At 56.7% G+C, this 14,332-nt stretch overlaps 1 protein-coding gene and 1 long non-coding RNA gene across 33 annotated transcripts in view; one reads left to right on the forward strand and one right to left on the reverse strand.

Annotated features, from left to right (window-relative positions):
* Positions 1 to 14,332, forward strand: part of LOC105376956 (uncharacterized) — a 66,549-nt gene that overhangs the window by 33,684 nt on the left and 18,533 nt on the right. The window lies entirely within an intron of this gene.
* IQSEC1 (IQ motif and Sec7 domain ArfGEF 1) overlaps positions 1 to 14,332 on the reverse strand; it is a 386,215-nt gene that overhangs the window by 12,985 nt on the left and 358,898 nt on the right. For 23 of the 32 annotated variants that reach the window (XM_047449348.1, XM_047449340.1, XM_047449346.1 and 20 more), the window contains 6 exons: positions 12,093 to 12,215; positions 10,403 to 10,569; positions 5,567 to 5,706; positions 5,077 to 5,106; positions 3,401 to 3,526; positions 1,602 to 1,701 (listed from right to left, as the gene is read on the reverse strand). In XM_047449348.1, the coding sequence (XP_047305304.1) occupies positions 1,602 to 1,701; positions 3,401 to 3,526; positions 5,077 to 5,106; positions 5,567 to 5,706; positions 10,403 to 10,569; positions 12,093 to 12,215 (686 nt within the window). The remainder of the gene's footprint in view (positions 1 to 1,601; positions 1,702 to 3,400; positions 3,527 to 5,076; positions 5,107 to 5,566; positions 5,707 to 10,402; positions 10,570 to 12,092; positions 12,216 to 14,332) is intronic. The other 9 variants (XM_047449347.1, XM_047449339.1, XM_047449358.1 and 6 more) reach the window with 1 other exon arrangement.

The raw sequence follows: 14,332 nt of genomic DNA on the forward strand, positions 1-14,332 counted from the left end.
TGCAGAGTGCTCCTGTGTGCATATGTGTGCACATGTATGTATATGCAGCCCATTACTGCCACGTGGGAACATGTGCCTAGTGACACCAAACCTTCTGATTTTCAGAGAGGCCCAAAATATCTACATTTTGATGTAGAGACTGGCTCAGCAAACTTTTTAAAAATATGCAAACCATATAAAAGATAACTGAGCTGGGCCTGCCTCCCAGGCTGTCAGTTTGAGACCCCTGGAATGACGGCATGTCCTATAGAAGCTGCAGGCTTGGCTCTTGCCAGCACCCGGCACCCACGATCTAAGGCCAAGCCCTGGGACCATAGACATGATCCAGGTGCAGCCTCTGCCCTGATGGTCCACAGTGGTCCTGGCCCCCTGCTGGGAGCTTTGCTGCCAGGATCTCACTAAGTTCCCACCCTAGCCCTGGGCAGCAGGGGTCAATGCCACCATCTCAGAGAGCAGGCTACTGCTGGTCAGGACAATGTGGGGATGGCACTGGCCTCCCCTGGGACCAAGGCAAGGCATGACTTGCAGCCTGCGATGGGACAGGAATGGCAGGAGGTGGGGAGGCGGCCAGGGCAGGCATGCCATGCCCCTTGTTGGGCACGTGGGGAGCAGGGCATACAGGGAGTGCAGGGTCTCCTACCGGGCTGTCCCTGGTCCCACTGAAGACTGAAGGGGACAGAGAGCCCCAGATCCAGGCGCAAGGCCTGTGGTTTTGGATGGTCCAGCTGCAGGTCCCTGACACTGTTCTAATCCGCAGATGGAAGGCTGATTAGACAGACAGTGACACCTAGTTCTGAGAGGATAAGGGACCCCTACTGCTCAAGCACGGACACTCAGCTTCTTTCCCTAGGACACTCCAGGTGGCCCCCTGCTCCCCAGCCCAGGAGGACTGGCTCAGCCTCCAACAGGGAAGGGACAAAGGAGGGGGAAGAGAAGCCGTGGAGAGTGAAAGGAGCAAGGTAAAATGGAAGCCAGTGGGGTGCTGCAGGTGTGAGCCTCCCAAACTCCCAGGTCCCCAGGCCTCACCCAGGGCCTTCCAGCAGGGCATCAAAATTAACCCTTGCAAAGCACTGTGTTCCGGCAGCTATGATGGGGGCCCTGTGGCAGGCACTACCTTACAACCCAGGCAACAGAGGCCAGAGGGGTTGCAGAGCCAGGCCACACAGCAGTTGAGCCAGAGCTGGGATCTGACCCAGGCTGAGGGGCTCAGTTCTTCACTTCCGCGGACACTCATGGGTTGCTGTCACCTGTGTTCTGGGCCATGTTTGCATATCACCTATGACTTAATGTTTTTCTATCAACATTTACATAAATGTATTTCTGCCATAAATTTAAAAATCTTATCACCTGCAAGAAACGAAGTACCAGTAAAAGCAAACTGAGTGTCTGTCCAGTGTTATTACATGAGGCTCAGCTGACTGATGGGCCTCTTGAGGGTCTGTGCCTACAGCTCACCGGAGCTCCTAGCTGCAATCTGCTCTCTGGGGATAAAACAGGGGTGAGCGTCGAAGCCCCCCGCGGTTCTGTCCTCGAAGCAGCCAGGAGAAAGAGCGTAAGCTGGGACATGCGCTCTTCCAGGCAGGCCCTGGGGGCAGACTTACACTGGTTCTCGAAGAGCAGGACCTGCATGCCGTACAAGGAGAAGGACTGTCGGAAGCTGTACGTCACCGAGTTCTTCTTCTTCTGGAAGATCTTGGTGACCTAGAGGCAGCCAGAGACAGAGCTGAGCTACAGTGTCTCGGGGGGCACTGACTATGTGGGACCTCTGGTCAGAGGATCCTCCTGGAGTTCAAAGTCAGGAGGACAGGGACAAGCCCACGTGAGTGGAGGGCATGGGCTTCCACTCCAAGACTCGGACAACGGTTCCTGTCCCCGCAACCCCGATGCCATCTTGGCTGGCAACAAAGCCCCACAACCTGACATAGAGGCGGTAGGCACTTCACAGCACGGAGCCCCCTCAAGTGCCTTCTCACAGCCAGGTGAGGTGTACACACCCGGGGCTTGGCACCTTGAGGGGCAGGAATGGACAGGTGGTGCTCACTAGCGCTGACCTTGGTAAGAAGCCATGGCTTCCTTTCTCGGGAACAACCAGAGTGTGAAGCTATGCCTGGTGATGGCCTGCAGGGAGACTGGCCCCTGGGCTAGCGACGTGATCCCTGAATCCCAGCTGGCCCGCCACGGTCCTTGGCTGCTATTCTGGTCTACAGTAGGAAAGGAACTTTCCAGTGTGGCAGCCAAAGGCTGGGCTGGGAGGGGAGAGGGGAGCTCACATCTCCCCGGTCTCCAGGGCATGCCAGGCACCATGTAAGGTCTTACGTCCAGGACCTCACTGGACCCCTGCCACCTTCTGAGAGATTCATCTTACAGAGGAGGAAACTGAGGCTCAGAGATGTGAAGGGATTCGCTCAAGGTCAGGAGTTCTTCATAAAGGATTTGAACTTACACGTCTGATTTCAACATCAGTGGTCAGAGAGGGTTAGCCAGTCCTCATACCCAATCAAGAACATGGGCCTGTAGTCCCAGCTACTCGGGAGGCTGAGGCAGGAGAATGGCGTGAACCCGGGAAGCGGAGCTTGCAGTGAGCCGAGATTGCGCCACTGCAGTCCGCAGTCCCGCCTGGGCGACAGAGCGAGACTCCGTCTCAAAAAAAAAAAAAAAAAAAAAAAAAAGAACATGGGCATCTTTGGCAAGAAAGCCCGTGGCATGCAGGGGTACAGAAATCCAAAGGACAAGCTCTCCCTTCTCTCTGCAGTGGGCACTTCTGCCCCCGTCTGGCTAGCATCCATGCCACCTTTTTTTCTGGCAAGAGCTCCCCAGTTTCCTTTTGGGGAAACCTCCAGCCCTTGTTTCCTTCAGTCCATAGGTCTTGCAGGGACCAGCTCAGGGCTCCAGGAGGTGGGGCTTGGGACCTAGGCCTAGCCAATCAGAAAGCACTGCACCTGCCTGGCCTGGAGAGGCTTAGGGAGGGATGTGCAGCGACAAGCGCTAACTCTGCAACCTCTGCTCAGTCTAGGAAGAGGATTCTACAGTTGCTCAGCAGACAGGATCAGGTCTGGAGCTGCTGGGGCCACCTTCCCCTTCCTGGACAGAGCCTGTCTGAGGAAGGGGCCTGCCCGAGGAAGCGTCACACAAGGTACAGGTGCAGACAGCACACAGGAGTGCTGCTGACGTTGGCAGAGGCTCTGGAAACAGCTGGTACTAAAGCCAAAGATCTCCCTCTGGACCTGTGCATGAGCCAATGAAGTCTGTCTTCATGTGCATCAGTGTGAAAGACACCAGGCAAACCCTCCCTTTTGCACCCCCACATGCATGCACATCTTCCCCACGCAGACAGCCAGACATGGACCCTGGGCTCAGGCTTGAGGTCCCTGCTACAATGCCTTGTGGGTGAGCCACATACCACCAGGAGGTCGTTGAACAGGAAGATTTCTCGCTGGTGTAGTCCGAGTTTCTGGGGCTTGTTTGGGTCTGGAACCTCAAAGAGCCGGCAGTAGCAGACCAACCGACGGTGGGGCAGAGAGAGCACCTGTGTGGGAAGAGGCTGTCCTGCCACGGCCGCCCAGCTCTCCTCTAGGAGCCCTGGGGGCCGCAGTGGAGAAGTCTAGCCCTTCAAGCTAGAAACCCGGCACGTGGGCCTTGAGTTAAAAAATGCCTTCCCTCACAGACATTGAAGAGCAGATACGTCTTTTGGCTCATGGCAGTTTCCCGTACTCTGTTCTCAGGAGCCACTATTTAAAATCCCGTATCTCTGCTCTCCTGAAGGACTAGGGACGTGCCCCAGCTTCTGCTGAGACCTCCTTTCCATTCTTTTGGGCAGGTACCAGGCTTCTTAAACTATCACGTTCACCTGGGAGCCTCTGGCCAGACAGCGAGTCACATTTTGAGTCCCCACAAGTGCCGGTCATAAACATGAGGCCACTCAGCCCTGCAAAAGTCTTTACAGAGAGAATCTGCTCTAGATGAGGAAAAACTGAGGCACAGAAGTAACGACAAAACTAGGAAGTGGCAGAGCCAGGATCCAATTCCAGGCCCCAGGACTTTTCCCACCCAACCAAGCCTCCCCATAAAAGATTCCTATGGTCCTGATGCCTGAAAGACTCTCCAAAATCCTGAGCCAGCAGCCAACACTCTGTGGCACTTGCCCTGGACCCGTCCTCTGCTCCCCACAGCTACCCTGAACATGCCCCTGACAGCTCACGAAAGCTCCCAACACGGTCATAGCTCCAGCTGCCCTTGAGGCCCAATGCCTCAGGGCGAGGGATGAGCCATCAGGGCCTGGCTCTGGGAGTGCCCAGGTTCATGCAGGATGGGGGAGGCGGTCAAAGGGGTGGGATCCCCGGGATCACCGTCCTGAGGCCAGAGGCTTGACTCTACCAGGGGTGCTCTAGGCCAGGGCTGCCTGAGTTTGGCACATCTGGGGGTTAAGATGAGGGGGAAAATGTGGCCCAGCCTGGGGTGCTTAGGTTGCAAAGGTATGAAGGAGAGAGGATGGGAGGGTTCGGGGAGCACTGGCTGGAGGTGGGAGGGGACTGGTCTCTTGCAGGGGAAGCTGGGGAGGGTGAGGGCAGGCAGAGCGGCTTTCAGGACTGAGGGACAAAGCCAGTCCACAAGGAGGGTCATGGTGAGCAGCCCAGTCACCCTGTGTGCATGTGTCCTGGGGCGTGTGGGCACACCACAAAGCTATGGCAGAGGACGGGTCCTGGGGGTGAGGAGGCAGGCACTGGGAGAGCCTGGGGCATGGGATGTGGGGGACAGAGCACAGAGCAGGGCCAGGTAGCGGACAGGGCAGGGCCTCAGAGGACACACCGGGGTCTGTTTCAGGCGCAGGGTCTGGGGGCTGGGCTCAACAGGGCGTCAACAAGAGGGAGCAGGAGTCTCCCCTGACAGCACAGCCTCAGGGCCTGCAGAGATCTGAGGCTGGGGTAATTACGAACATCTGATTCTCAGCACCCCAGCAATGAACTCAAGCAGCCAGCACTTGGGCTCTGGGAGCCTGGGGAGCCGGCGGACTGGCTGATGCTGGGCCTCCCCAGGGCGGCGGGCTACCCACAAAGGTAAAACCAGAGAAATACTCACACAGCCGAGCCCGGGATGCAGGGATCCGATCTGCGGGAGAATGTGAAACCAACAAAAGGGTGTTCATGTTTCAAAGCCACGCCCAGGCCAATGCTGCAAGTGCCCCTCCCTACACCTACCCTTGGGATCCACCCAGCCAGTATGTGGGGTACCCACTCTCTCTGGCAGAGCTCTCTGAGGGGTCCCAGGGGACTCCTGGACCACCCAGGAAAGCCTGCCAGTGTCGGGTGCCCAGAACTCAGCCACTGCACAACCCTGGCCTGCTAGATCATTAAGAGCCTCAGCTCTCTTCAGATTGTAACGCAGAGCCAATAGCTGTTATTCCCAAATATGACAGGAGACACTCGAAAAAACCCCAAGCCCTGGCAGAATTCACCAGCCCTGCTGGAAGAGACCACACGGAGTGGGGTGGGTGGGAGTGAGAAGGCCTGGCAGGCAGCCCCGCCCGGGTGGTGCTGGGGCCCACCACGTACCAGGGCCCATCACATACCGGCTTTTTCCCCACAATGAGCTTCTCCACCTTCTGCACCTGGGACACATGGTCCTCATTGGTCTTTAGCTCTCGCTTACGGATCCGTTCATAGATCCCCATCAGCATCTCACGGGGAATGTCCTCACCATCGTCCACACCTGGGTAGGGGATGCAGCTGGATATCAGGGTGGGCCCCAGGCTCACTCGATTTACCAGTTTCTAAAGCAAATCAGAGGAGCGAACCTTCCACTAGACCCAACAGAACCAAAGAACTCCCAGGCAGGCCCACAGCAACAGGACATTTTCAGTCAACACAAATTTCCTCAGTCCTCCTACCAGAACGGGCCCAATACATCCGACCCGGTCTAGTAGGCGATGGGTGTCAGGGGCTGAGCCACCTCTAAGCCATTTTCAGAGGGCTTTATAAATGCTACCCTGCTCCATGCTAACCACAGCCCTTCGAAGTGGGTATAATCATCTCCATTCCACAGATGGGAAGACTGAGGCTGACGTGTGGGGAGGCTGGAGTATAGGGAGGCTGGGGTTTGTTTGGGCTCCGATGGACCTGGGGCCACGTCCTACTTTCACCCTTACTAGCTGTGTGACTATGGGCGAGTGACTGCCTCAACCATGCTTGGTGTCCTCCTCTAAAACACCTTGCCCACAGCACAGGCTTGTTGTGAGGAAACGAGGGGCGCCTGGGGCGTGCCCAGCTCTGCATCTGAGCGGTGGGAGTGCTGCAGTGGTTGCTGTTGCTGGCCCACATCACATGGGCAGAGGCTGGAGGCTGGGCTCTGACCCGGGGCTGCCCTAACCACAAGCACACACTGCTTCTTTCTTCCTCCCCACTCTGAAAACCGCTGTGAGCAGAGAAACAGCCTTATACATATGGGAAATGCAAACTCGTTTTGCAGTGAGCTCTACCCTCACCCATCCGCCAGACTGCAGTCCAAAAGGCTGCAGTGCTTGGGGAACATGGACCTCCCACAGATGGCTGGCAGGACAGGAGATGCTCCAACCCGGGGTAGGCAACCTGGCAATGCCTGTCCAAATGACAAGTTCTAGCACCCTCTGGTCCACTGACTGCATTTGGGGAACTTATCCCATGGGAAATGAGACACATACAACGTTATCGCAGCACTGTTTCCAAATGGCAAAAGGCTGGAAGTAACCTGTGTACCCATTAACAGGGGAGTGCTCAATCATCCCACATCAGCACGACAGACTACTTACTACGCACCTGCCAAGAACAGTGAAGAAGGCCACAGTAAAGCACATGGGCCGTTTCTCTTAGATTTAGTAAGTGGGAAAAGCAAGGTGCAAAGTAGCAGGGGATAAAACCATTCCTGCATATGTGCACTTGCATGAGCGGAGCACAACTAGGGGGCACAGCCAGGAGAAGCCAAAATCGAGGAACTTCAGGGGCAGAGGCTATGCCCTGAGCAGGTGGGGCAGGGTGGGAAGGAAACTGCTAGGCACCTTCCAGTATTTTTTATTTTTATTTTCCTAAATAGACATTATTTTTAGAGCAGGTGTAGGTTCTCAGCAAAATTGAGCAGAAGGCAGACTTCCCATGTATGCCCTGCCCCCCGACACTCATAGCCTTCCACGCTGTCGCCATCCTCACCAGAGTGCTCCATTGGCACAATGATGAGCCTACACGGACACATCAGCGTCACCCGAGGTCCATGTTTTAGATTGGGGTCCACTCCAGATGCTGTGATTCTGTGGGTTTGGGCAAACGTAGAACGACCCTCATCCACCATTATAGCACCACGCAGAACAGTGTCACCGCCCTAAAAATCCTCTGAGCTCCGCATACCCATCCTCCCCTTCCCCAGCTCCTGGCAGCCACTCATCCTTTTCCTGTCTCCATAGTTTTGCCTTTTCCAGAATGTCATAGAGTTGGAATCACATAGCACGCAGCCTGTTCAGACTGGCCTCTTTCACTCAGTGCTACACACTTAAGTTTCCTCCACATCTCTTCATGGTCGATAGCTCACTTCTCTTTCGTGCTGAGCACTATTCCACTGTCTGGAGGCACGCAGTTTATTTATCCCTTCATCTGCTCAAGGACGTCTGGTGGTTGCCACATTTTGACAGTTTTGAATGGAGATGCTATAAGTATCCGTGTGCAGGTTTTTCTGTGGGCCTAAGTTTTCAGTTCTTTTGGGTAAATATCAAGGAGCACAACTGCTGGATCATATTACTTTCTGGCTTTCAAACTATGTGAATATCCATTCAAAAAATAAATTAAAAAATTTAAGAACAAACTTTAATAACAAGGAAAGACTCCTGGACTGGCTTCCGTGGTGAGCTACTCCGCCTTCACAGTCCTCCAGCCCCCAGGGCTCTCCCGCTGCGGGACCCACTGGACAAACTGCGCTGACCCACTCCAGAGAGGATGTGTGTTGGGGAGGGGGTGAGGATTTCCCTACAAAAAGGACAAGCTGTCCATGCACTCGGCACAGAGCACCAGGCTGGCTCCAGGAGTCCAGGGACCTGCCTGGCCTCAGCCATTTCTTGGTTGATGTGACCCTGGGCAGGTCCCTTCCTTCTCTGAGCCCTGATCACCCATTCTGAAGCATGAGGAAGATGAGAAAGAATGTCCCTGAGCTCTGGGCTGAAAAGGGGTGACTTGGTGGGGACAGCCCAGGCTTGGGAGACAGAACCTGCAGCTCCCTTCTTGGGAATGGGGTGCACAGCCCCTTCCATGGGAAGTGGGGAGGCTCCTGCCACCCTGTCATCCAGAGAACTGGCAGTACTGGGTGCAACCATGGACAGGACCCACAGAGCCACTGCCACTGAGGTACAGACTGGCCGCCACCTGACTCAGCAGCCCTGCCCTGCCAAGCCTTCTCTACTCTAGGCCAGTCATTTCTGGTTCCTCCTGCTATGTCTCATCCAGCATATCCCAGATGACGTGCAGGAGGTTCTAAAGTAAGAAAAAAAAAACCTGGCCAGGCACGGTGGCTCAAGCCTTTAATCCCAGCACTTTGGGAGGCCAGGGTGGGAGGATCACTTGAGGCCAAGGAGTTCAAGACCAGCCTGGGCAACATAGTGAGACCCTACCTCTAGAAAAAATAAAAATTAAAAATTAGCCGGGCATGGCAGTTCGCGCCTGTGGTCTCAGCTACCTGGCAGGCTGAGGCAGGAGGATCTCTTGAGCCTGGGAGGTCAAGGCTGAAGTGAGATATGATTGCACCACTGCACTCCAGCCTGTGCGACAGAGGAAGACCATGTCTAAATAAATAAATAAATAAATGTAAACAAATTATAGAGACCCTCAAACTGTCCCTGGGCTGCCAGAGGGACCTCTAAATATAAATAAATACATGAAGTAATTAAAACAAATCAGAGACCCTCAAACTCCCCCTGGGCTGCCAATAGCATGCAGCACACAGCTGGCTTTCCTGGAGGCGATGGCCAGCCTGCATCAGGGGTCATGCGGAGGTCTGTGAATCCTAGAAACAGGCTTGGCCCCATGAGAAGGGAGGCTCAGGATGAGAGGCCCCGGGTGGATGTAGAGGAGGCCCGGCCTCCTGGCTGCTGCTTGGACACCTGGGCCTGGGAGTACATGTTGTACCATCAAAGTGTCCACTGGTGGCCCTCGGGAGCTCTCAAGCTGCCTTGGTTCCCAGGAACTACAGACTTGATGGACTTGGGGCCTGCGATGCCCCTCAGACCTTGCAGGAGGCCACGTACAGTAACTGCTGGGTGCAGGGAATGGCTGTCCATGAGCTCTAAGCCACGCCCCAGCCTGCTCAGCGCCCCTTCCTGCCTCCCAAGGGAGGTGGCAGAACCACTCAGGTCTTGGAGCCTAGCTCAGGTGCCATCTCCCTGAGGCCTCTGCTACCTGGGTTTCCTGCCACAGCGGCACCCGCCACCAGGGGAAGGGGAGGGCACCTGGAGACCCCGGAGTAGAGCTGGAGCTGCTCCCTGGAGAGTGACACTGTTCAAGGAGAAGGGACGGCAGAACCGCTGTTGAATAAACTAAGAATGAACAGCTTTGTCAGCTCCACACGCTCTTAGAGCCAGGCTGTATTCACACTGGCTCTTCTTTGCTGTTACAAATAGTGACAACCTTTCCAAGGAACCCTCAGCCCCTGTTTTCAACCCACCCTCAGCTCTTGCAGCCAGGGTTCCCACAGGGACTGAGGGATGCGGTGCCTTCCTCCTTCCTTCCGGGGACCCTGGGGCACACAGGGGACACACTGGGCTGGCACAGAGCCACTTGGGAGAAGGTCACGGCCTTTTAGTTCCTTTCCTGTTTCTGATCACACAAGGATGCCTCGCTGCCTGTAGACTCCGCACCAACACCTCCCAGCACATGCCCACCTCCCTGAGGGCAGGGAGCCGGGTCTGCACTCCAGTGCCAGCAGCCGGAAGCCGCACTGGGCTAGAACTCAGCAGCACTGCTTTCTTTTCTTGCAAAGAAAAGAAAGAATGTATAATTACTTTCTACATGTGGCAAATGCTACTCATTCTCCATTTACAGTAGCGATATCAAGTCCCCTTTTAAAATATATACTTTTAGGTAAAGACACAAAGAAAAAGGCCAGTTTCATCCTTCAAGGACAAGCTAACAGTGTCACCTTCTCTGTGAGGAAGGTTTCCCAACACCTCGAGACCCCGGCCTGTGTCATGCAGCCTGTGTCCCACGGGGGCTCCTCTAAGGCAATGCTCTTTCCAGTCATCTGTGCTCCCCAAAGGCCCCTCCATGCCAGACCCTGGAGTGCCGGAGCACAGCTCCCCAACTGGAGGTTGCCTCACGCCCCTTACATCTGGGGAGGGCCTGGCTGGGGCAGGTGCTGGAGCAAATCTGTGGCTGGCCGACCGCCTGAGACAGCTCACCTCGGAGGTTCTTGATGAAGTCCTCTAGCTTCATTTTCCGCTCGGGCTTGACATTGGGGCTGTACATGTCGGTGTTCAGCAGGATGATGGCGAAGGCCAGGATGAAAATGGTGTCTGGGTTCCGGAATTGCCGCACCACCCCAGGGTTGCAGATGCAGTAGCGCTGGCTGCGGGCCGGGAGGGAGGGGGTCAGGGCCATGGCGCAGCAAGTGACACGGCCCCTCTCTCACCCGCTGAGGCTGTCATGTGCCGCTAAGCCTCAGCTCCTGCTTCTGGTGAGCGAGGATCACACCTGCCTGTCGGAGTTGGCCCTGACTACTCACTTGCCCTCCTCACTCTACTGTAGTCCCTCCTACCTGGATTTTAGCCGGGCACATGGCCGTCCTGGGGAGGACTACATTTCCCAGCTCCCGGGAGCTCAGAGTAGCCACACCACCACATTCAGCCCATGGGATGTGAACACATGTGATGTGAGTGCCTGTAAGGCTGGGCCCCTCTCCCCGCTGCCTGCAATGGGGACATCACAGTGGGTGTCAGGCCTGCCCTCCGGGACCTTGAGGTGAAAGCAGCCAGGGGCACCTCCACACCAGCTCAGAGGGAGAAGCACTCTGCCTTGTCTCAGCCATGGCTACTGAGGGGCCTCAGGTTCAACAGCTGTGGACCGACTGCTGCAAGAACACCCCCCTGCCTTGGAGTCAGCCCGCTTGCCACTCCCGCTGCCACCCCAGGGGCCCCTCCACTGGTGACCTCGTGGAGGGGCAGGTGACAAGAGGCAGGGACAGAGTAGAGGAGCCAGGCAAAGTACCGGGACTGAGGCTCAGGAGCCCAGCTTAGTGCCCTCCCCTCCAGGAAGCCGTCCTGGAAGGAGGTGGGTGCACCTTGCCTCCCGCCAGGGCCCTGGGGTTGTCCTCCCTCTGTGTCCTCGATCCTCCTGGCCCCATCACCAGTGTGGAGCCCAGAGGGCTGGGTCAGCAGCTGACCTGTGCCGCCCACACCCAGCACCAAACATGCAGGCTTCTACACTGCCAGTCTGCACGTGATCCCAGAATGGATGACTGCGTAGTGACCGCGAGCTCACTGTTGTGTCAGGAACTGGGCTAAGTGTGCCCACATGTCCTGTGTCATTTCATCCTTGCACCTCTTTCTAGGGTATGTGCTACTGTTATTCAATTTCACAGGTGAAGAAATGAGGCACAGAGAAGTTAAGTAACCAGCACAGGGCCACAGAGCCGGTAAGTGGTAGAGTCGGTGACTGAACCAGGCATCTGGCTGTCTGGCTTGTGCTCCGAGTCACTGTGAATGAGCAAATGAATGACTAGATAGATGGACTTGTGGATGAATGCAGAGCTTGGGGGGAATTAGAGGAAGAGCATTCAGAATCCTGATGTGAACAGCCAGAATCCTAGCAGTCGCAATCATAACCTCTTTCAACTTCAGTTTCCTCATCTTCACAATTAAAATAATCGGTACAGTCTTCTCCACCCCCACCACCTCACAATGGCTGAAAGGAGCCCGTCACAGTGCCTGGAACGTAGGAGGAGCCAGTACGATCACCCCCAAAGCAACATTCAGGGACACCTGGCCCTGTCTAGGGATGGTGGGGATGCAGTCTTTGGTCCATCCTCGGGCCCTGAAGCTGGGGGACACCATTCTTCCCTGATGCAGCAGCCCCAGCCAGCCCGGGCCCCACCTGAACGCCTCTATGAGCCGCTCCACTTTCTGAGCCTCCCCTTGGACACGGATGTGCGCCTGGAATTTCCTGAGGGCCTCATCCAGCTCCATGGTAGAGAAGTCCATCTCGTCCACGACGCAGCTGGAATAGAGACAGACAGCCCCGCATAAGCACCCCTTGCAGGTGCGACACGCCCAGCCCACCCCCAGGTGGTGGTGCCTGAAGCCCTGGGAATGGACCGCCTCCTGGCAGGGAGAGCCCCTGCCTGACTCCGACCAATCAGCCAAGAGCCCTCAGAATGCAGCAAAAAGACCTCCAGTCTTCTGGGGAGCCCACAAAGCCCCTGGAACTGTAGGGAAGCGCGTGTGCCTATATTTATGCTGGCAGTTTTCCCAGTGGGGCAGAGCATATGGTTATCTGGATCAAAGCCCTTCCCAAGAGACAAGCATTTTTAAGCACAGCCCTCACCAGGCACACAGTGGACGCCACTGTGAGTCTCCTCTCCTTCTGCACGGGGTTGGGGAGTTTGCTGCCATTTTCACAGTGAGGAAAGGGGCGCCCAGGGTGTTGACTTTCAGAATAAGCCTGTTCTCTTGTGGGGAGAGTATCGGGGTGGTGGGCTGGGTTTTGCAGATGCTTTTCCAGGGACTTGAAAGGGCCATGCACCCTCATCTGTGGGGCAGGGCCTGGAGGGGCGGCTGATGAATGGTCTCCACATTCTTCCCATGGCCCTGCCCCGGCACACCCTTCCAGTCCCTCCTATGGTGACCCCTGAACAGAGAAGATGGAGTCTGCACCAGGAGCCCTGAGGCAGGCTCCAGCTTCTGGCCAAGCTCCCTAATGATGCTGCGGTCACTCCCATGGGGCAGAGAGAGGCCTGGCCACACAGGGCCTGACCCCTCTCCCAGGGCCATCTCCACATGGGGGCGATGCAGCTGCTCCCACCCTCCTCTGAGCGCTCAAGGCCTCCTGGGGCAACAGCCTTGGAGGTGACTTCGGAGCAGTGGGGAGAGGGCAAGCAGGGAGCAGGCAGAGGATTTGCTGAGCAGCAGGAGCAGCGGCCCTGCAGATGCCTGGTGTGGTGGCCCGGGGGAGCCAGCCACTTCCTGAGGCCACTGCTATTTTCTGACCTGAGGAAAACAATGTGCGGATTTCCTAAGGACCAGGGACCGGCTTGGAGTGGGGAGTCGGGGCAGCATAGGAATGGCTGCAGGGGATGGGGGTGGGAGCTGGGCATTTACCAAGGAGCTCATGGGCTTTCCCCTGGACCTTTCCTCACGCCTGCTTCAAAGAGGGGAGGGGGCAGTAGCCACCCTAACGATACAGCAGGCTTCTCCAGGTGCTGAGCAGGGAGAAAGATGCCCAGCCTGTGCATGCTTGGCAGACCAAGGGCACAGATATTCTGCTGGTGCCTGCCATGTGCTGGCCACACTTAGCCTCCTGGGTGTGGGACGGGGACTACATGAGTGCCGTGTATGTGAGTCTGCGTGTGTGGGGATGTGTGCCCAGGCCAGCCCCTCCCACTCTGAGCCTTGGTTTCCCCACCCATGAGACAAAAAGGGCGACGGCACCCTCTGCCTCCTAGGGAGAAGCAGCAGAGATGGCAGGCGTACTGGCCAGCCCCAGGGAACGTGAGGCCTCGTGCTCCAGGGGCTGCTGCTCCCGGGCACCTTCTCCCCAGCCCTCGTTGGTCCCCTCGGCTGCACATGGGCAGGGCTGGGCGGCTAGAAGGGACTGCCCCTGGATGGCCAGCACTTCACCCTGCTCTGAGTGCTCTTCCTGGCCCACCCTTCTGGCTCAGGGAGTTGGGAACCCATTTTTCTGCAGGCTTTCAAGTAGCCGGGAGTGCTATGCTCACCAGCTCTCTGAACTGAGAAGAGCTGTGGAATCAGGAGGTGGGGGCAGGACGCACAGCCCCAATATCCCAGCCGGGAGAATGAGGCAGGGGCAGAGCGTGGCACGGGCCGCCCACGGGGAGGCAGGTCACTTGATCTGACTCCCCACCACTCTCCCCAGGGGTGAGTCAGGAGCAAACAGGGCATGCAGTCCATGCAGGAGGACAACAGCCAGGCCAGGGGAAGAGGCCCTGACGTCCAGCTGCCTGCTCCTGCCAGCCCTGCCATGAGAAGCTGCAGGAACATGGGTCACTGAGGGCTGTGATGCTTGGTGCTGGGTTGGATCAACCGTGCTTAGGGATGGAGGGAAGGGAGGGGCCAAGGGTGCATGCCAGAGGGTGGGCGGACAGGCAGTGGGGTTCG

Source organism: Homo sapiens, chromosome 3 (genome assembly GCF_000001405.40).
Source record: "Homo sapiens chromosome 3, GRCh38.p14 Primary Assembly".
Lineage (NCBI taxonomy): Eukaryota > Metazoa > Chordata > Mammalia > Primates > Hominidae > Homo > Homo sapiens.